The sequence below is a fragment of the Homo sapiens genome, chromosome 6 (assembly GCF_000001405.40).
Source record: "Homo sapiens chromosome 6, GRCh38.p14 Primary Assembly".
Lineage (NCBI taxonomy): Eukaryota > Metazoa > Chordata > Mammalia > Primates > Hominidae > Homo > Homo sapiens.
This window is the reverse complement of record NC_000006.12, coordinates 144,185,427-144,208,298: the sequence shown is the minus strand read 5'-3', so window position 1 is coordinate 144,208,298 and position 22,872 is coordinate 144,185,427. Positions and strand designations below refer to the sequence as shown.

At 40.4% G+C, this 22,872-nt stretch overlaps 1 protein-coding gene and 1 pseudogene across 11 annotated transcripts in view, besides 3 other annotated features; one reads left to right on the top strand and one right to left on the bottom strand.

Annotated features, from left to right (window-relative positions):
* Nucleotides 5,293-5,587: a silencer, noted in NCBI's record as "tiled region #5218; HepG2 Repressive non-DNase unmatched - State 22:ReprW". NCBI's record gives its function as "weakly represses a minimal TATA promoter and a strong SV40 promoter by Sharpr-MPRA in HepG2 cells {active_cell/tissue: HepG2}" and the evidence as "EXISTENCE:reporter gene assay evidence [ECO:0000049][PMID:27701403]".
* Nucleotides 5,293-5,587: an enhancer, noted in NCBI's record as "tiled region #5218; K562 Activating DNase matched - State 9:DNaseU". NCBI's record gives its function as "activates a minimal TATA promoter and a strong SV40 promoter by Sharpr-MPRA in K562 cells {active_cell/tissue: K562}" and the evidence as "EXISTENCE:reporter gene assay evidence [ECO:0000049][PMID:27701403]".
* On the top strand, nucleotides 7,220-8,061 carry TPT1P4 (TPT1 pseudogene 4; annotated as a pseudogene).
* STX11 (syntaxin 11) overlaps nucleotides 16,360-22,872 on the bottom strand; it is a 51,977-nt gene continuing 45,464 nt past the window's right edge. For all 11 annotated transcript variants that reach the window (XM_047419436.1, XM_011536213.3, XM_047419439.1 and 8 more), the window contains one exon: nucleotides 16,360-21,676. In XM_047419436.1, coding sequence (XP_047275392.1) covers nucleotides 20,808-21,676 — 869 coding nt within the window. In that variant the 3' untranslated portion in view covers nucleotides 16,360-20,807. The remainder of the gene's footprint in view (nucleotides 21,677-22,872) is intronic.
* Nucleotides 21,326-21,826: an enhancer, noted in NCBI's record as "H3K27ac-H3K4me1 hESC enhancer chr6:144507610-144508110 (GRCh37/hg19 assembly coordinates)". NCBI's record gives its function as "activates a minimal SCP1, AML or CMV promoter by ChIP-STARR-seq in naive H9 embryonic stem cells {active_cell/tissue: H9 hESC(naive)}" and the evidence as "EXISTENCE:reporter gene assay evidence [ECO:0000049][PMID:30033119]".

The window sequence follows — 22,872 nt, the reverse complement described above, 5'->3', positions numbered from 1 at the left end:
GCTGGAAAACATATTTCAGGATGTCATTCATGAGAAATTCCCCAACTTATATAGAGAGGTCAATATTCAAATTCAGGAAATGAAGAGAACCCCAGTAAGATACTTCACAAGAAGATCACCTTCAAGACACATAATCATCAGAGTCTCTAAGGATGAAATGAAAGAAAATATGTTAAAGGCAGCTAGAGAGAGGTCAGGACACCTACAAAGGGAAGCCCATCAGACTAACAGTGAACTTCTTAGCAGAAACCCTGTAAGCCAGAAGAGGTTGGGGGCCAACATTCAAGATTCTTAAAGAAATTCCAACCAATAATTTCCTATGTGGCCAAACTAAGCTTCATAAGAAGAGGAGAAATAAGATCCTTTTCAAATAAGCAAGTGCCAAAGAATTTGTTACCACTAGACCTGCCTTACAAGGGCTCCTGAAGGAAGCACTAAACATGGAAAGGAAAGACCGTTACCAGCCACCACAAAAACACACTGAGGTACACAGACCAGTGACACTATAAAGCAACCACACAAGTCTGCATAATAACCAGCTAACATAATGATGACAGAATCAAATCCACATATTTCAACACTAACCTTGAATGTAAATGGGCTAAATGCTGATTGCACAGAGTGGCAAGCTGGATAATGAAGCAAGACCCAATGGTATGCTATCTTCAAGACACTCATCTCACATGCAATGACATACATAGGCTCAAAATAAAGGGATGGAGAAAAATCTACCAAGAAAATGGAAAACAGAGAGAAGTAGACATTTCAATCTGAATTTCAGACAAAACAGACTTTAAACCAACAAAAAAACAAAAGAAAAAAGAAGGACATTACATAATGGCAAAGGGTTTAATTTAACAAAAAGACCTAACTATCCTAAATATGCACCCAACACAGGAGCACCCAGATTCATAAAGCAAGTTCTTAGAGACTTTCAAAGAGACTTAGGCTCCCACACAATACTAATGGGAGACTTTAACACCCCACTGACAATATTAGACAGATATTGAGACAGAAAATTAACGAAGATATTCAGGACCTAAACTCAGCACTGGATCAAATGGACCTGACAGACATCTACAGAACTTTCCACCCCAAAACAACAGAATATACATTCTTCTCATTGCCACATGGCAATACTCTAAAATCAACCACATGACTGAACATAAAACACTACTCAGCAAATGCAGAATAACTGAAATCATAACAACCACAGCACCACAGTGCTATAAAAATGGAATTCAAGACTAAAAAGCATGCTTAAAACCATACATTTATATGGAAATTGAATAACTTGCTCCTGAATGACTTCTTGGTAAATAATGAAATTAAGGCAGAAATCAAGAAGCTTTTTGAAACTCATAAGAACACAGACACAACACACCAGAATCTCAGGAACACAGCTGATTCAGTGTTAAGAGGAAAATTTGCAGCACCAAACACTCACATCAGAAAGATCTCAATTTATCAACCTAACATTACAATGAAAAGAACTAGAGAACCAAGAGCAAACCAATCCCAAAACTTGTAGAAGACAAGAAATAACTAAAATCAGAACTGAACTGAAGGAGTCACACAAAAAACCATTAAAAGGATCAACGAATCCAGGAGTTGTTTTTATTTTTTTTGAAAAAAATAAAAAATAAAATGGTCAGCCTGCTAGGTAGAATAATAAAGAGAAAAGAGAGATGATCCAAATAAACACAAGTAGAAATGACAAAGGGGAGATTACCATTGACCCCACAGAAATACATATAACCATCACAGAATATTATGAACACCTCTCTGGACTCAAACTGGAAAATCTAGAAGAAATGGATAAACTCCTGGACATATACACCCTCCCAAGATTGAACCAGGAAGAAATTGAATCCCTCAACAGACCAATAATGAGCACTGAAATTGAATCAGTAATAAATAGCCTACCAATCCAAAAAAGCCAAGGACCAGATAGATTCATAGCCAAATTCTACCAGATGTACCAAGAAGAGCTGGTACCATTCCTATGCAAACAATTCTGAAAAATTGAGGAGGAAGGACTCCTCCCCAACTCACTCTATGAGGCCAGCACCATCCTAATACCAAAAGCTGGCAGAGACACAACAGAAAAAGAAAACTTCAAGCCAATATCCTTGATTACCATCAATGTAAAAATCCTCAACAAAATACTGGCAACTCAAATCCAGCAGCACATCAAAAAACTTCTCCACTACCAACAAGTAGGCTTTATCTCTGGGATGCAAAACTGATTCAACATACACAAATCAATAAATGTGATTCATTGCATAAATAAAACTAAGACAAAACCACATAATTATACCATACTTGCAGAAAAGGCTTTCAATAAAATTCAACACCCCTTTATGTTAAAAACTCTCAACAAACTAGGTATTGAAAGAACATACCACAAAATATTAAGAGTCACCTGTGACAAACCCACAGCCAACATCATACTGAATGGGCAAAAGCTGGAAGCATTCTCCTTGAAAACTAGCACAAGACAAGGATGTCCTCCTCTCTCACCACTCCTATTAAACATAGTGTTGGAGGTTATGGCCAGAGCAATCAGGAAAGAGAAAGAAATAGAGGACATCCAAATAAGAAGGGAGGAAGTCAAACTATACCTGTTTGCAGATAACATGATTCTATATCTAGAAAACCCCAGTCTCAGGCCAAAAGCTCTTTAAACTGATTATCAACTTCAGTGAAGTCTCAGAATACAAAATCAAAGTACAAAAATCACTAGCATTCCTATACACGAACAATCAAGCCGAGAGCCAAATCAGGAATGCAATCCCATTCACGATTGCCACAAAAAGAATAAAATGCCTAGGAATATAGCTAACCAGGAACTGAAAGATCTGTACAATGAGAACTATGGAACACTGCTCAAAGAAATCAGGGATGACGTGAACAAATGGAAAAATATTCCATGCTCATTGGTAAGAAGAATCAATATCATTAAAAATGGCCATACAGCCCCAAGCAATTTACAGGTTCAATACTATTCCTATCAAATTACCAATGATATATTCCATAGAACAAGAAAAAAACTATTTTAAAATTCATATGGAACCAAAAAAGAGCCCAAATAGCCAAGGCAACCGTAAGCATAAAGAACAAAGCTGAAGGTGTCACACTACCCAACTTCAAACTATCTATAGGGCTACAGTAACCAAAACAGTGTGATACTTGTACAAAAACAAACATAGACCAATGGAACAGAATAGAGAGCCCAGAAATAAGGCTGTACACCTACAACTACCAGATCTTTGACAAAGCTGACAAAAACAAGCAATGGGGAAAGGATTCTGTATTCAATAAATGGTGCTGGGATAACTGGCTAGCCATATATAGAAGACTGAAATTGGACCCCTCCCTTACACCACATACAAAAATCGACTCAAGATGGATTAAAGACTTAAAGGTAAAACCCAAATCTATAAAAACTCTGGAAGATAACCTAAGCAATACCATTCTGGACATAGAAACAGGCAAAGATTTCATGATGGAGATGCCAAAAGCAATTGCAACAAAAGCAAAAATTGACAAATGGGATCTAATTAAAGAGCTTCTGCACAGCAAAAGAAACCATCAACAGAGTAAATAGATAATCTACAGAATGGGAGAAAAATTTTGCAAACTATGCATCTGACAAAGGTCTAATATCCAGCATCTATAAGAAATTTAAACAAATTTACAAGAAGAAACAACCCCATTAAAAAGTGGGCAAAAGAACATGAACAGACACTTTTCAAAATAAGACATACCTGTGACTACAAACATATGACAAGAAGCTCAACATCACTGATCATTAGAGAAATGCAAATCAAAACTGCAATGAGATACCATCTCACACCAGTCAGAATGGCTACTGGTAAAAAGTCAAAAAATAACAGATGTTGGTGAGGTTGCAGAGAAAAAGGAATGCTTATACACTGTTGGTGAGAATGTAAATTAGTTCAACCATTGTGGTAAGCTGTATGCTGATCCCTCAAAGAGCTAAAAGCAGAACTACTATTCAATCCAGCAATTCCATTACTGGGCATATATACCCAAAGGATTATAAATAATTCGACCATAAAGACATATGCACGCCAACGTTCACTGCAGCATTATTCACTATAGCAAAGACATGGAATCAACCTAAACACCCATCAGTGGTAGACTGGATAAAGAAAATGTGGTTGTACCGTGAAATACACACCATGGAATACTAAGCAGCCATAAAAAAGAATGAGATTATGTGTTTTGTGGGAATGTGGCTGGAGGCCATTATCCTTAGTAAACTAAAGCAGGAACAGAAAACCAAATACTGCATGTTCTCATTTATAAGTGGGAGCTAAATTATGAGAAATCATGAACACAAAGAAGGCAACAATAGGTGCTGGGGTCTACTTGAGGGAGAAGGGAGGAGGGAGAGGATAAGGAAAAAATAACTAATGGGTAGTAGGTTTAATACCTGGGTGACAAAATAATCTGTACAACAAACCCCCATAACACGGGTTTACCTATATAACAAACCTATACATATAACCCTGAACTTAAAAGCAAAAAAATAATAATAAATATTAAACAAACCATAGTTATTTCCCCTTTAACCCCAGCCTTTACTGGCTGTTTTTGCATATTGGCTCAGTGCTCTAAAATTATCCTAGCCTATGTGTAAGAATGGGCAAAGCCCTCTTAAACAAAAGTGGAGTTACTTATGTCAGCTTTTTTGCTGTTTCACTGCTACAGCATGAGGTGGGCTCTTTTGGTAGCCATTGTTTCTTGCTTATCCAACAGCCATTCCTCACCTTTCTCCCTGATAAAGGAAATCTTATTTTATTCAGGCAGTGGGAAGAGACACCTTAATTTCAGGGAAGGTAGACTTATTCTCCAGCTCCAGGGAATGAATCATTATTAGTGTAAACCAGTAATTGTCATCTCAACCCTTTGGTCAATACAGTAATTGGTTGGGAGACAGTGGCAGAGTGGTGTGTGATCCAGTTCTGGCCAATGAGAGATAAGAAAAAGCTGGTTGGAAGTTCTGGAAAGGATTTTCTTTTTGGATTTAAAAAACAGAGTCTTGGGAAGTAAAAGCCTTGTGCTTGCTATTCCTTCCCATTTTCTTCCCTTTTTCTTCCTGCCTTGAATGGGATCATGTTAGAAGCAAAGCTCGGAGTTGCAAAGAAAATGAGCACTCAAACAAAAGATTTCTCAGCAAGGCAAATTTACTTCTGCAGAAGGGTGCTTCTCTCAGTTGCCATGAGAGCACACTGAACAAAGGAGGGAAAGGATTTTTATTCCTAACGCAGCTTGTCCCTACTACTATGTCCTGTCCCTGTTGGCTGGAGTTGGGCCACACAATCTAAACTGAACCCAATTGGCTGACTTGAAAGACAGCTTTGGCGGGAAGAGCTGTTACAGTGAGAGTGGTAAATTACAGAGTGAATAGCAGATGTGGGCTCTGTAGATAAGGACCAGTGGGAGAGTTGTTTACTGGAACCAGGAGCAGGGAGGCAAAAAGGATAAGGAAGTTGGACGTTGAAAGTAGAGAATAAGGAAACTAAACAAACTAAACTTTTGAAGAGGAACTTCTCTGGGATCTGACAATGTGAAGATAGAAGCCTTGGAACTGTGTTGGCTATGCTGTGACCACGGGGCCAGGATTGGGGGCAGGGAGGTCACATTTCTATGGATAATGTGCTAATACCCAAAGATGTCAGAACGGTAAATTAGAAAGAGATTTTGCCTTTAAAGACCTTATGGAGCCACAGCCAACCAGAAACCATCTACCTCCAGTCTTCTTATTGTACGAGAAAATTTACATGCTTTTAAATATAAGCCTGTGGCTCTCAAAGTGTGGTCCTCTGACCAACAGCATAAAGATTATCTGGGAACTTGTTGGAAATGCACATTCTCTGGCCCCACCCCAATGTCCTGAATCTGCATCTCAGAGTCCAGCGATACTGAAGCATGCTCAAGTTTTAGGGTCACTGTGATCACAGTACAGTTTCTGTCAAAGGCATTCCTAGCTGAATCTTCATACAAATATGTGTAGACCAGTGAAGGGATCTAAAGTATTCCCTAGAAGTTGCTTCCTTGACTGAGTGCCTGTTATTGCCTTGATTTCTTAATATTTATCTCTATTTTATAAGTAAGGCTATCTCCAGAGGGTGAACTTGCTGTCTTGTGTTGGGGGGTTATATATGAAATATATTTATAGATATATAGATTTTGTGTGTGCAAATATATATATATATATATAAATTGTGTGAACCTTAATGCTTCCTTTTCCTAAATTGTGTTCTTGTCCTTGATAGAACCTTCATTTTCACTTTACCAGAAATCTCTCGCTTGCTAGCATCATTCTAATACAATTTTATTTAAACATTAGTTAAATGCTTCCACTTTCAGGTGACTTTTAAATCCATTCTTTAAACAGATTATGAAGAAATATGGCCATCTCATAGATATTCAGAATATTATCACTAACTACCATTACTACTAGGACACATTTTTGCATCTAAGGGTGAGAATGGGAAGCCATCTGTGCTTACACTGAGGACTACCAAATACTTTCAGTGCACTTTTGGATCCCTGTGTGTGCTGTTCTTATGGATTCCAAAGAAAAGAGGTGGTGGCTGAGCAAGTGTGAAGTCAACGAATCCAGTTTGTGGTGAGGCTCTTTCAGACAGCTCTGGGTCCCCTCTGATGAATACCATAAAGAGATGCAAGGTTGCTGGGGACATGGGACGAGGGCAGAGGGGATAGGGACTTTGTATTCCTCTGTGCTTCCTATCTCCCAGCTATCCAGGACCCAACTCTAGAGAAAGCTAAATGAGAATTTTGCCAGACTCCTCGTTTGCTTTCACTAGGACTCTTCTCCTTCCTGCCCCCATTATCCTCTCATGTTTTATTTTCAAATTTTATAAAAGATAAATGTTGTTTTATGGAGCAATGTCTCAACATCACTTTACTGTGAGAAGCACTTTACATATATTATCTTATTTCATTTATTTTATCTAATTTCCCCCATTTCAATTTTACTTGTTTATTCTTTAAGTATTCTGCCTCTATTTTGTTTTTCCTACTTTGTCTTTATTTATATTTCCATTAAAAATAATACTTTCACATCCTTTTGAAATTATATTTATTCCTAGTTCAGCCTAGAATTTTTGTTTTTAATCCATATTTATATTTTTCATAAAAGACTAATGAATCTAGCTTTTTTTTTTCCCCGCTCGCTCCCCTCTCCACCTTAGCACCGCTCAGGCTGCACTGCGCTTGCTGCAAGCTTCAGGCTCCTGCTAAGCTAGTGCTGCATCGTCTCCCTTCAGCCGCCATCATGATTATCTACCGCGACCTCATCAGCCACGATGAGATGTTTTCCGACATCTACAAGATCTGGGAGATCATGGACGGGCTGTACCTGGAGGTGGAGGGGAAGATGGTCAGTAGGATAGAAGGTAACATTGATGACTCGCTCATTGGTGGTAATACCTCCGCTGAATGACCCTAGGGCGAAGGTACAGAAAGCACAGTAATCACTGGTGTTGATATTGTCATGAACCATCACCTGCAGGAAACAAGTTTCACAAAAGAAGCCTACAAGAAGTATATCAAAGATTACATGAAATCAATCAAAGCCAAACTTGAAGAACAGAGACCAGAAACAGTAAAACCTTTTATGACAGGGGCTGCAAAACAAATCAAGGACATCCTTGCTAATTTCAAAAACTACCAGTTCTTTAATTGTGAAAACATGAATCCAGATGGCATGGTTGCTCTATTGGACTACCGTGAAGATGGTGTGACCCCATATATGATTTTCTTTAAGGATGATTTAGAAATGGAAAAATGTTAACAAATTTGGCAATTACTTTGATCTATCACCTGTCATTGTAACTGGCTTCTGCTTGTCATCCACACAACACCAGGACTTAAGACAAATTGGGGCTGATGTCATCTTGAGCTCTTCATTTATTTTGACCGTGATTTATTTGGAGTGGAGGCATTGTTTTTAAGAAAAACATGTTATGTATGTTGTCGAAAAATAAAATGCATTTAAACTAAAAAAAAAAACTAATGAATCCAATTTGTATTTTTATTTTATTTTATATTTTATACCTTTTTATTTCCTTGATCATCAGTCTAATTGTTTTATCTTATAATCATTACATTCATATTTAATCTGTATTTTAATTTCAATATTTGTTTTTTTTTAAATTTTCTCTCTTTCTTGTATAATTTTACTTAAAATTTTTCTTTTTTCTTTTTTTTTTGAGACAGACTCTTGCTCTGTCATCCAGGCTGGAGTGCAGTGGTGTGATCTCAGCTCACTGTAACTTCCACCTCCTGGGTTCAAGCAATTCTCCTGCCTCAGCCTCTCAAGTAGCTGGGATTACAGGCTCTTGCCACCACACCTGGCTAATGTTTGTATTTTTAGTAGAGACAGGGTTTCACCATGTTGGCCAAGCTGATCTCGAACTCCTGACCTCAAGTGATCCACCTGCCTCGGCTTCCCAAAGTGCTGGGATTACAGGCGTGAGTCGCTGCACCTGGAAAATTTTTCTTTCTTCCTGAAGGATATTTATTTTACCTTGTGTTTTTTGCTAGCAAGAAATATGGGCTTGGGACCTGGCAGTGAAGAAAGCCCACATCCTCTGTCCCCACCTGCTCTATATCAAAGAGTGCGACAATCTAACGAAAGGAAGGGTCTTTCTGCAATTACTCAGGATGGGGTCTCAGACTAAACTGGTTAGAGATCCAAGGGCAGAGTGGACTTAGAAAATGTCAAACAATGGTATATCCAGATTACATATCATATATATGTTGGTTGACAATATAATTTTTATCACCTAAACACAAACACTCCTGAAGGTGAAATAGGTAGCTATTAAAAATCATTCTGGGACAACAGGTCTACAAGAAGCTGGTCCCAGGTACTTTACAAATGTGTAAGAAATATGTATGCAAGGTAGGACCAAAATTAATTAATATCAGTTCTGTGCAACAGACATTTATTAAAGGAGCAACCATTAACATTAAGGACTATGTAAATTTAAGTGTGAATCAAAACACAATTCTCTGATGTATAAACCACTTCCTTTTTGGGCCAATTAGAAAAATCCAGACAGGAAATTATAGTCGTCTTTACATCTCAGGTATCTGGTGTGCATTTTAGATGACATCAGCCGTGTAGTAGTCCACAGATATTAATTTTTTTTAGTATTGGCAATAATTCTTTAATTTCACTTGGCTATGAACAGAGATGATGCAAATGAAAGTGATTCTGATGTTTTTGCCTCTAGATAACTGGCAGAATGAAGAAGGCCTATAGGAGGCAAAACAGAATACTGAGTTTGAGGAACCTGTGGGCCATTCAAGAAGAGAGGTCAAGTAGACAGTAGGTTATGGATGATGCTCATGTAGTCTCTGATTATCCCATGCTATGTAATATGGTTTGGCTGTGTCCCCACCTAAATCTCATCTTGAATTGTAATCCCCATTATCCTCAGGTGTCATGGGAGGAACCTGGTGGGAAGTAATTGAATCATGGGGGCAGTTTCTCCCATGCTGTCCTCATGATAGTGAGTGAGTTCTCATGAGATCTGATGGTTTTATAAGTGTCTGGCTTTTCCTTGCTGGCGCTTCTCTCTCCTGCCACCATGTGAAGAAGGACATGTTTGCTTCCCCTTCTGCCATGATTGTAAGTTTCCTGAGGCCTCCCCAGCCACATGAAACTGTGAGTCAATTAAATCTCTTTCCTTTATAAATTACCCAGACCAGGGGCAGGTCTTTATAGCAGTGTGAGAGCAGACTAATACACTATGCTTGGGTAGGACCCAACTGGAGCCATTATGAGCTGACCCCTGCTACTCAAAACAATCTTTTACCAATGGTGAGAATGAGAGCAGTCGTGCACTTGAAGGAAGATGAGTCTAGCTTGGATGCCATCTGCCCAGGGACGTTGCCTACTCATGCTAACAGCACGTGGGAATCTTGGGTGATGTTGACACTCTGTCGGCTCCTTATCAGTCAAACTAAAGAGGGCTGCCAGAGTCATAAGCAGTCAACCATCTCTCCACAAAGGTTTGACAATTATCAGGATAAGGTAGCAAAGCCACAGGGTAGATGAGATCACTTAGAAAGATAGGAAAGAGTTAAGGGTAGAATCCCTTGCCATTTCACACTGCGGTGTGTGGGCTCACACATTTGACCCAATACCATGAATAATGGATGTGGTAACTGTGTTTTTATGCTACCAAACACTGGGTAGCAGTAAATTTTCCTGCTCTCCTTAAGCACATTTGATGACTTATTGCTGTGTAGTGTGCAGGTACAGCTAAGGAGGGGGAGAGCACTGTCAACCAAGTCCACACAGAGTATGTGGGCTATTGGCAAATCCCAGCCTCTTTCTCCTGTCAAGTAAATCAGAGAAGTTGCTAATATATATTTGAATGCATGGATGTTTCCTTTTGTTTGTTTTTTACAATAAAGTTTAAGAAGGAATTCAATTGCTTACTTGCTACATGGTATGTTTCTATTTCTCTGAATTTTCATTTGAGGTATAAAACACAGTATCTGCTTTGTTTTTAAGACTTTGTGACAATTTTGAAAATGGAAAAAAAATATATTCTTAAATTTTTCTTCCGAATAAAAAAGCAGAATAAGCAAATAAACAATAAACTAAATGGAATTAATAGCATTGTTCTCTCCCAGTTTTACCTATTAAAGAGTAATACAATAAGAAGATAAAGAAAAGAATTGCATTTGTATTTTATCAGACTGACAATGGGCAGGCCTTAAATTTTTTTTTTTTTAACAAAAGAAGTAAAAGAGGCCAAGCCTGGTGGCTCACAACTGCAATCCCAGCACTTTGGGAAATTGAGGCAGGCAGATCATGAGGTCAGGGGTTTGAGACCAGCCTGACCTACATGGTGAAACCCCGTCTCTACTAAAAATAGAAAAATTAGCTGGGCCTGGTGGCGTGCGCCTGTAATCCCAGTTACTCAGGAGGCTGAGGCAGGAGAATCGCTTGAACCCAGGAGGTGGAGGTTGCAGTGAGCCGAGATCATGCCATTGCACTCCAGCATGAGTGACAGAGCAAGACTCCGTCTCAAAAAAAAAAAAAAAGAGAAGTAAAGGAAAAATAAAATAACACACAGATTAATGCAAAGGTTTTGAGTTAGAAATCTGTAAATACCTTTAGTTGTTAGGAGAAATTTCCAAAATTTTCATCTCACTTACACTGAATTTAAGCCCAAACAATATTATGCCATAGACTATCATAATATATAATTTTACCAAATTATACTCACAGGGCATGCACAGAGGAAAATGAAAACAACTTACCAACTTCTAGTTGTAACTGTTGTCCCTTTTGACAAGATCAGCCAAGAGAGTTGTTTACTTACTCTTTCTGTTTGTTGGTATACAGATGTAAAGAAACTGAACTAGTTCACAGGAGAGTCTGTGTTTTGTATTTTCAGCTTCCACTTTCTAAGTTTTGGTCCACTCGGCCATGCCCTCTCTTCTTGGTCTGCCCTTCTGAGTGCACAAGTTTTTGCTTTCTGACTTACTTTTTTTATTTTTTATTTTTATTTTTATTTTTTTGAGATGGAGTTTCCCTCTTGTTGCCTAGGCTGGAGTGCAGTGGCACGATCTCGGCTCACTGCAACCTCCACCTCCCGGGTTCAAGCAATTCTCCCGCCTCAGCCTCCAGAGTAGCTGGGATTACAGGCATGTGCCACCACGCCCAGCTAATTTTTTTGTATTTTTAATAGAGATGGAGTTTCACTATGTTGGCCAGGCTAGCCTCGAACTCCTGACCTCAAAAGATCCACCCATCTCGGCCTCTCAAAGTGTTGGGATTACAGGTGTCAGCCACCACGCCCGGCCCTGACTTACTTTCTGTCTAGGAACAGGTCATCCTTCTTTCTTCCTTTCTTCTTTTTCATTTTATAACTCAAACTCATTCACATCACTGGATTATTTCTTCCAAAAATATTTATTTTAAGCCTTTTTGTCTCTTAGCAAGAAGGAAAGGATCTCTCCTTGCCACTCCCATACCCATAGTGCATTCTGCCAGGCCATTTTTTAATGTGGCACTGACACTCTTATCAGAGAAGAGAGATGCAAGTTTTTCTAATAAAGCTGTGGTTTCCTTTTGGAAATGAGAACTTCTTGCAAAGTCACTTCAAATATTGATAATGGCCAATGCAGGGAGCCAAAACAGGAGAAGCTACCCCTCCTGTGGAGTTGCAGCCTTAAAAAAATGGCCATGTCTTTCATCTTCCAGGCCGTTTACTTTCTCCTAGTAACTGCATGTCCTAACATCTTGCCACTAGGTAACGTTTCTTGTTTGACAGGTTTCTTCCATAAACCAGATGACAAGGCGTGGATGAAGATTATGAAAAGAAACCATGTTACCTCATCTATGCCCTTCTAAGGGTGCATGAGACCAGGGTAAACCACATAGCAGAGCCAAGGAATGAATTAGTTAAACATTCCTACCCACAAGAGAAATTCCTCTGTCATGTAGAATCTAAATAGTTTGTTTTTATCTGGGGGTAACATTCCTTTTATAGGCACTACCCCCCTGGAGATTCTTTGCTTGATTTGGTTCACAATCATGTGTTTTTTTGTTTGTTTTGTTTTTTGTTTATTTTTTTTTCTTAATTTTTTTTTTTTTTTGAGACAGTGTCTCACTCTGTTGCCCAGGCCAGGCTGGAGGACAGTGGCACGATCTTGGCTCACTGTAACAACCTCCACCTCCCAGGTTCAAGGGATTCTCCTGCCTCAGCCTCTCAAGTAGCTGGGATTACAGGCATGCGCCACCACACCGAGCTAATTTTTGTATTTTTAGTAGAGATGGGGTTTCACCATGTTGGCCAGGCTGGTCTCAAACACCTGCCCTCAGGTGATCCTCCTGCCTTGGCCTCCCAAAGTGTTGGGATTACAGGTGTGAGCCACCACACCTGGCCCAAATCCATGTTTTCAAAGAGTTGGCTGCTGGTGGCTGAGAGGCACTTCAGGCCCAAGCAGCAGTCGACCTGCAGGGTCAGCTTCAGCAGGGAGAGAACTTGCAGCTCCAAGCAAGGGCAGTTTAGGGTCCTCCATTCTCTCCTTGGTCTTCAACGCTTGTAGGAAAAGAAGACCCTTGCTGTTACTGTTCTGCACAATCCACAGGCTGTTAGACATTTTTGTATTGAGTAAGTATTATGGATTCATAAGCAGTCTGGATGTGTGTGGGGTGGGGGGTGGTGGGATTCCCTGACATATTCAGAGGCACAGACTGAGGCATCTCAGACCATTACCATACCATGGCGACTTCAGTGGCTGAGGGCGTTTTAGGACTGAAGCCGAAAGCTGCCACACAGCCCTGTGTGACTAGGAGCAGGGAGCTAAGTACTTTGCACAAATTACCCTACTGGATGCCATGTTAGATGGAAATATGTCCAGCTGAAACTCAAGCCAACACATTTTGTCCAAAATTAAAAAAAAAGAAAACTTTGTTTTACATGCTTTGAAGAATAAAAAGAAAAAGAAAATCACTTCCAGATAAAATGTAGTTTTACAACTTTCTTTGCATCCAAATTGAGTCTGTACCTTGACTAAGCTATTTCTTCCAGGCTCTGCCACACAGCACCCAATCCCAGCCTCTGTTTGCTCCCAGTTCTGCTGGCTTCAGTGCCCGTGACTCAGAACTTCATTCTCTCTCCACTCACCTTTTCAGACTGACCGTTCTCCTGCATGATCTGCTTCTTCCCAAGCAGTCTTTCTCCAGTCCCATGTCCCCTCCCCTCACCAAGTCCCACCCCCCTTCTCAGGACACTGCGCCCCCAACCGCATCCTGGCCTCACTCAGCACCCGACACAGATCCTCCGGGAGGAGAAACTAGATACCGTGCTTTATGCTGTAAAATATGCATCTTCAAAAAGCTATACAAAAAGTCACTCATAGCAGAAAACAAATTCTGAATATCTCTATTTCTGCATGTAGAACACAAATACCCAAATGCCTATAAAAGATACTATGCAAAGTGCTAAGATCCCAAAACAAGTAAGATGTTATTGGTTGTCCTTAAAAATAAAAAAGCAGTTTAGTAACAGAAGCACACATAACACCGTGAAGATGGGGGCGATGCAGTCCTTAAATATGCACTTCACGGAGCTCCTACGCAACAATGGAACTGAGTGGGTGGGTGCAGTGCTTTGAAGTAGCCAGGGTGGTGTCTCGTGTCTGTGGTCCCAGCGACTCAGGAGGCTGAGGTGAGAAGATCGCTTGAACCTGGGAATTTGAGGCTGCAGTGAGCTATAATTGTGCCACTGCACTCCGGCCTAGGCAAGACCCTCTCTCTAAAAGAGAGAGAGAGAAGAAATAAAAGAAAGAAAGAAGAAAGAAAGAGAAAGAAGAAAGAAAAGAAAGAAAGAAAAAGAAATAAAAGAAAGAAAGAAAAAGAGAGAGAAAGAAAGAAAGAAGGAAGGAAAGCAAGCAAGCAATGAAAGGTGTCAGGGATGAAGCTGAAAGTAAGCGGGGCCTGGCTCCTTCAGGGCCTTGAAGAACCTCACTAAGGAGATGAGATTTTATCCCAACAGCAATCAGCAGCCATTACAGAGTTTTAAGCAGTTGAACGGCACTATTCACAGCAGCCAAAAAGTGGGAGCAACCTGTGTCCATTGACAGGTGAATGACTAAACAAAATGTACTCTATAAATACGATGGCATATTACTGAGCTTTAAAATCTGACACGCACTACAACATGGATGAAGCTTGAGGACATAATGCTAAGTGAAATAAGCCAGACACGACAGGACAAATACTATATTATTCCAGTTCAATGCAGTATCTAGAGCAGTCAAGCTCATAGAGATAGAAAGCAGAATGGTGGTTGCCAGGGGCTGGAGGGATGAGCAGTTTTTGTTTATTGAGTATAGAGTTCAGTTTTGAAAGATGAAAAGAATCCTGGAGACTGGTTGCACAACAATATGAGTGTACTTAGCAGTATGGGAACTGATATAGTTTGGCTCTGTGTCCCCACCCAAATCTCATGTTGAATTATAATTCCCAATGTTGGGGAAGGGAGCTGCTGGGAGATGATTGGATCATGGGAGCAGATTTCCCCCTTGCTGTTCTTGTGACACTGAGTGAGTTCTCATGAGATCTGATGGTTTAAAAGTGTGTGGCACTTCTCCCTTTGCTCTGTCTCTCTCTCTCTCTCTCTCTCTCTCTCTTTCCTGTCACCATGTGAAGATGTACTTGCTTCCACTTCACCTTCTGCCATGATTGTAAGTTTCCTGAGGCCTCCCTGGCCATGCCTCCTGTACAGCCTATGGAACTGTGAGTCAATTAAACATTTTCTCTTTATAAACTACCCAGTCTCAGATAGTTCTTTATAGCAATGTGAGAACCAACCAATACATGAAATGTATATTTAAGAATGGTTAGGATGGTAAGTTTAAGTCATGTATATAATACTGCAATTAAAAACAACAGCGTAATGACAACAACAACAAAAAGGCACTGTGGCTGTACTATAGCATTGTACAGAGATTAGACTGGAGAGGATAAGACTAGAGGCCAGAGGCCAATTAAAAGCTGCTGAAGTAATGGAAGCAAGAGAGGATAATTGTCTGACCTGGGCAGGTGGCAGTTGATTGATCCTGCCATTTGCAAGTTAAGATAGACAGAAGGAGCAGGGGATGGGGACGATGGTAGATTCTGTGTGTGTGTGTGTGTGTGTGTGTGTGTGTGTGTGTATACTCTGTTATTTTTACCCTCTATCAAACATTATGGGATGCTGAGATACAGAAGAGTGGATATGTCTAAAGAGTTGGCTATAGGACCATGAAAATATAGAAATATAGACTAAGAAAAATAGAAGAGGTCCAAGAAGTGTCTATAGATGCTTCAAATAGAATATAAAATGTAACTTAAAAAGAAACATCAGGAATTAAAAAATATAGTGTTGGGGACTTGTCTCTCAATCCTCATTTTGCAGGGCATCACTGGTTTTATTGTTGTTGTTTGCTTGTTTTTTGAGACAGGGTCTCACTCTGTTGCCAAGGCTAGAGTGCAGTGGTGCGATCTCAGTTCACTGCAACCTCTGCCTCCTTGGTTCAAGTGATCCTCGTGCTTCAGCCTCCAGGGTAGCTGGGATTACAGGCATGCACTGCCATGCCCAGCTAATTTTTGTATTTTCAGTAGAGAAGGGGTTTCACCATGTTGGCCAGGCTGGTCTCGAACTCTTGGCCTCAAGTGATCTGCCTGCCTTGGCCTCCGAAAGTGCTGGGAGTATAGGTGGGAACCACCATGCCCGGCCAGATATCACTCGTTTTAAAGCATCCTTTGTAGTCTCACTCAGAACATCAGTTCCGAAAATCTTTATTATCAATAGACACATGACTTTACAAAAGCTTCTAGTATATAAGGACATCTTGCCCATTCTTAATAACGTGTTGATAACAAAGACACTCATCATTTATATGATGAAGTTACATTCTAGATCCTATTCGTTTTCCATTTCTAATAGCCCCATTTTATTAATTGCAATGATTTTCAACTCCGCTATCAAAAGGAAGTCAACTGTTGCTCTGATTACAATTGGGTGTTTCAAACTATCGTCTTGATTACAAATGAATGAGTTGCATGCTGCAGTTGGAGATACTTCGCATACTTCAAAGAAAGGAGTAGAAATATGTCTGATGGTAAAATATAGAATGATAGAATTTATACATAAAAATCAAGACTATAGTTACCCTATTTTTTTTTTTAAGCTGTACACAATCTTCAGTAGTTTCCTGTCAAGTTAGGAACTTTATATGTTAGAGCCTGAACATATCTGCATATGACATTTAACTATAAAGCATTAGGACTGTTTTTAAATAAATGTAAAGGCATTGATATAAAAAGAGTACTGTTCTCTTTTTAAGTTGTTACCTTAAAAGGCCATAAAATTACTTCTGTGATGTCACAGTTCAAATATTTTTGAATGACTGACATTTTTAAAATTCTAACTCATATTATCCTGGATACCGATGCATACTAGATGAGCACCTTTCCTAGTTAGGACATTTCTGGAGTTGTTACCACCTATAATCTGTGGCTTGGTGGTAGTTGTAAAATTTGATATTTGGCTAGTAGAAAGTAGTCACTGTATATGTTAAAATAGCTATAAAAGATTCTTACCTTCAGCTCCTGAAGGATCTATTGTTCTTTGTGATTTGTTCTTTCATTTTGTACCCTAAAAGATATGAGTGTATAAAATTTGCAGAATTGCCACAAGGTCTTCTTGGCCAAAGTCACCTTTCAGAGTTGCCAAGCAAGCATCATGAGATTGGTAAAGCCAGCTCTACAGCATCTCTTGGTGGCACTAGAACACAATTTCTTAAGGAAAAAGCCAGCATTTCACCCACTGCCTGGTGTGGCAGTCAGAGCCAGGAAGGGCTTTGGTGAATAGGCCAGGACGTGCAGTGGGCCAAATGATGCCTTCTCTTAGGTCAGTGACCCAGCCTCTACAACTTCCTACAACTCCTTCCAGGACTTTCTGACTCACAGCTTGGGAAGAATTAGGAAAGAACACCTGCCAAGCTGAGCAGAACAGCTGCTTCCTGCTTACGTGTTTTTGGTGGAACATCTCATTTCTTCTTCAGGACATGTTTGGATATACACAGGGATAGAAATGCCATAGTGAAAACATCTTTATGACTGTCAAAAAAAAAAAAGCCCTAATATTCACAGAAGATGGGGTCTTGGTTTCTTTATTCCATTTTATTATTTATTAAGACTGTTAACAAAAAATAGGCTTTATTTTTCCTCTGTACTTAAAAACTATAAATTTACTTGGGTCACTAACAGTGCTCTCAGTCTGAGAGAAAATTACATAATAACAACAATAATGAACAAAGCACTTAGCATGTGCCAGGCACTGTTCTAGGTGCTTTTACATATTCAGTCATCACTTTTCACAACAGCTCTATGAGGTAAGTACTGTTATCTCCGTTTTACAGATGAGGAAACTGAAGCACAGAAAAACCAAGGTTCAGTCAGACAGCTAGTATGTGGCAGAGTCAAGATTTAAATCTAAGAAACAGGATCTGGAATCTGTACTCCTAACCATTACGCCACACTGAGATGGTTCCCAAACAGCAGGAAGAAGAAGTGTTCTTTCCCTATAGGTAACAGTTCACTCATTCTTTTGGTGCAGTAATGGACAGTCTGTACCGAACTCTCCAATATAAAACGTGAGGAATTAAAATGTATATAGAGCCTGAAAACTCACTTACTTTTATAATGGTTCCAAGCAAAGAAAATGCTTTATGGGTTCAAACATGTCAAATTTATGAACTCTTCGTTTTTTTGTGGAAACTGGCTGGCAGTCTCTATTTACAATATCTCTCCTCTATTATAAAAAACATTGCAGTGGAGCTATGTGAACATTTTTTCCCCTTTCCCTTAGAGAAAGCAAATTAAGTCAAAGGTGATACATATCCTTGGAGTTGGCTGAAAAAGAAATTGGGAGAAATATGAGAATAGCCTTGTGGAACTTGGTTTCCACAATTCTCAAATTTAACCATGAAATTAAAATTAGATACAGGGGATAGATTTTCCTGGTCATAAGCAAGTCAGGCAGTGAGCTCCAAAGAATTCACATACTCCTCCTTCTAATTCTTTTAAAATTCCAGCTTCTAAAGGACCTGAGAAATATGATCACTACTAAACTCACTCATGTATTAAATAATGATTAGGAAGAGCTAAGAGTTGACACAGAGGAAGGCCAGGAAACATGGTAAATGTGGGTAAGGGCATTAAGAAGTTTGCAGACTACACCATATCTCTAAAGCCTCATGATTTTGCTAAAGTATTGTAACTCAGGAGAGAAAGCAAGACACCCTCATGGGAATTCTTTTGAGTTTTTCATTCTTTTCCCCCTCCACTCAGTTCCATCCAGATGTGGCAGCCTCAGTAGCTAGTAGAAAAAAAATTTGGCCAGGGTCAGTGGCTCAGGCCTGTAATCTCAGCACTTTGGGAGGCCAAGGTGGGCGGATTGCTCAAGCTCACAAGTTTGAGACCAGCCTGGGCCACATGGCAAACCCTGTCTCTACAGAAAATACAAAAATTAGCCGGGCATGGTGGCACATATCTGTAGTCTCAGCTATTTGTAGGCTGAGGTGGGAGGATCACTTGAGCCTGGGAGTTTAAGGCTGCAGTAAGCCATGATTATGCCACTGCACTTCAGCCTGGGTGACAAAGGGAGACCCTGTCTCAAAAGGGGGGAAAAAAGGCCAGGCATGGTGGCTCACACCTGTAATCCCAGCACTATGGGAGGCTGAGGCGGGCGGATCACGAGGTCAGGAGATCAAGACCATCCTGGCTAACACGGTGAAACACCGTCTTTACTAAAAACATAAAAAATTAGCCAGACATTGTGGCACGCGCCCAGAGTCCCAACTTCTCAGGAGGCTGAGTCAGGAGAATCGCTCGAACCTGGGAGACAGAGGTTGCAATGAGCCAAGATCCTGCCACTGCACTCCAGCCTGGGCAACACAGTGAGACTCCATCTCAAAAAAAAAAAAAAAAAAAGGAAAAAGAAAAATTTTAACAATAATTGAGAAAGTAAACTAAATGGTCAAGCCAGAAATGTATAAAAATATGTGTATAATGTAATGTTTATTAAGCTTGCTTGAAAAACAGAATTCTTTTACTTTGAATTTCTCCATTTCAATGCATGGAAGGAATGGTCCACAGTAAAACAAAAGCAGTATTTCCAAGAATGTTAGTTGTCTCTAGCTCCGTATACATTTTCTACCGCCATATGTCTACCGCCATAACCAATGCAGAGTTGTTTAACATGAAGTTTGACCCAAACTGGACTAGGAAGGGGCAAACTGGAGTGAAACAAACTCAAAACAAGCAAACCAATACCAAGAGCCAGAAAAGTGTTCGTCTTGAAATTTATATACCATACTTACATAAAAGAAGTTAAACCAATTGATCATTATGTACATATATTAGTGAATATTAGTATTTTACATTTACATACATGTGCATATGTAATCAAGTAAAAATATAAATGTTAAATAATTTTTATCAGCGAAAAATACACAAAACATGACTGATACTTCAATTTGAGTGCTTGTTCGATATTCAGTGCTTAAAAATGTTTGGAAAAATAATACCAAAATATAACCTGGTGAAAGATATTTAAAAAGTGAAAGAGATAAGAAAATAGTAAGTGTTTGGTGTGATTTTAATAAGTAGGGGAAATGAGCAGAAATAAGATCTATATTTGGGGAGGAATTGCATAGCGTAGACCGGATGAAGAATCGGAAAGGAAGAACGTGGTTTTTCCCAAGGCCAATTTCGCTCAAAATGGAACAGAACCAGGGAATTTTCAGGACAAAGTAAATGAACTGAAGTTTCCATCATGAGTTCATTCTATTAGCAGATGCCCAATTGACTTCCTCCTTGAGTCTTTATTAGGAGGCAGGCCTCAGACATTCACCCTACAGTCAGATACAACTTCAGTTCCTTACTTGGCTTCTGTCAAGACGGTAAGAGTGCAAGGTGTCATATAATGACATTGCACAACTTTGTGGGAATCTATCTTTACTGAAGAATCATCGGACGGTATCAACTAACCATCTTTCCAAGCACAGGCTGGTTTGCAATTCTTGAACCTGGCGTTTCTTTTCTAAAGACTGAGTTCCGGAAAGGGTTGGGGCAACTCCCTGCAGGGCAGAGCTCCCGGCTTTGGTGCGTCCTTCCCAGCGCGCTCCATGGTCTGGGATGGGCGGTGGCGGCCCGGGCCGGCCTGCTACTTGAGGCAGGGACAGCAGAAGCAGCAGAGGGTCCGGCAGGGGTTCTTCTCCTCGTACTGCACGGCCTTCCGCACCTGCGCCTTGGCCTGGCCGGTGTAGTCGACCGTCTTTTGTACGTTGAGCTCGATGACGTTCAGGGTGTCGGCCTGCTTCTCCACCAGCACCGCCATCTGCAAGAAGAGCTCGTGTACGTCGCGGATGCGGCTCTCCAGGCGCAGCAGTTCGCGGTGGCGGCTCTCGATCTCGTTGAGGGCGGCCCGCGCGCCCTTCACGTCGGCCAGCAAGTTCTCGGAAAACACGTCCCACTTACCCTGCTCGAACATGTCCTCGATCTGGTCGCCCGAGACTTCCTTGCCCATGATCTCCAGCTGGCGCTGGATGCGGATCTTGCAGTTGTCGCGCTGCTTCATCTCGGCCTGGTTGTAGTCGTGCATGGCGCGCTGGAAGGTGAGGGTGAGCGCGTTGTACTGCGCCCGCGAAATGCGCGCCACTGCCGAGTGCGGGCCGTGCTGGGCCTCAGCCGCCTCGCTCAGCTCCTTCATGGCGCGCAGCTTGCAGTGGATGACCTCGCCCCGGGCCTTGATGGCCTTGGCGATGGAGTTGGTGTCGCGCTTGATGCTGCTGAGGCGCCGCATGGACGTGAGGAAGCGGGCGTTCTGCTTTCCCAGCCGCTTCACGTCGGCCACCAGCAGCTGGTTTTCATCCTGAATGTCCCGGATGTCTCGGTACAGGGACTCCAGGATGTGGTCCGTCTCGAACACGATGTCCTCGTGGGGCGAGTCAAACTCATCGTCCCCGTCTGGGAACTGCTGGTCATATTGCTTGGACAAGTCCAGAAGTTCTGCTAGCCGGTCTTTCATTTTGCCTGCAAGTAGAGATAATGAAGTTAAATTTCTCTATTGAGAGTCAAATATTTGCCTTCAAGGGATTGAAACTTAAACATTTTACTCAGCAGTCCCAATTTTGTATTCCTCGGTGTGGGCAATAAGTGCACTAAAGGAGCTAAATGTTCTGACATTTTGCTTACAAGGAAAGAAATAAGATGACTGAACAACATGAAACAGTTGTGTTTTAAGGCCTATAGGCACCTGCAGTTCAATATCATAGCCGCGCAGAACTCAATGAGCAATTTAAAATTTTATTTATTTATTTATTTATTTATATATATTTTATTATACTTTAAGTTCTAGGGTACATGTGCACAACGTGCAGGTTTGTTACATATGTATACCTGTGCCATGTTGGTGTGCTGCACCCATTAACTCATCATTTACATTAGGTATATCTCCTAATGCTATCCCTCCCCCCTCCCCCCACCCCACAACAGGCCCTGGTGTGTGAAAATTTTAGATTGCATTGGGAAACCATCTCTTTTCATTGCTTTATGTTTTCCAATCATTGCAAATTAAAACAGACACAGAAAAAAAAAAAAAGAAAAAAGAAGAAGAAAGACTTGCAAACTTAAGTATTTTTAATTGAGGATAATCTACAAGGCTTTGGGGCCAACATCTAAATGTTGCCTATTTTGTGTCTATTTCGGCACTGGGAAGCATCCCCTCCTGTACACACTAACAACTCTTAAAACAGTTACCATGCAAATCATGATTTAAATTTTTTTCTCTTGAAGATGTTGTAAAAGTAAAACATGCTTGAAGTAAAATGACAACAAAATACAGAAATCTAAGTGTAAAATTTAGAAGTTGAGGTTTCCTTACTCCTCTTCTCAATATCATTCCCTAATGATAAGCATCGTAAATAACACTGCTTTTTAAAATGCTTTTATGTGGAAAATTCCAATCATACGTGGCCTAGTAGCAATACTACAACACACTCCCATTCATTCATCATGTAGCAGCAATGTTTGCCCACTTTTAATAGCTTTTTGAAACAAGTTGGCAGCTCAAGCAGAATGTTCATGTTTTTACAAGGATGGTTCTGGTAATTCCTCTGCTTAGTAAGGCAAAGTAATAGTCTCTATGTTCATATTGCTTTTCAGTGAAGTGAAAAACTTTCATTTTTAGTAGCATGTATATATGCTAATATAGGGAATATCTTGTGTTT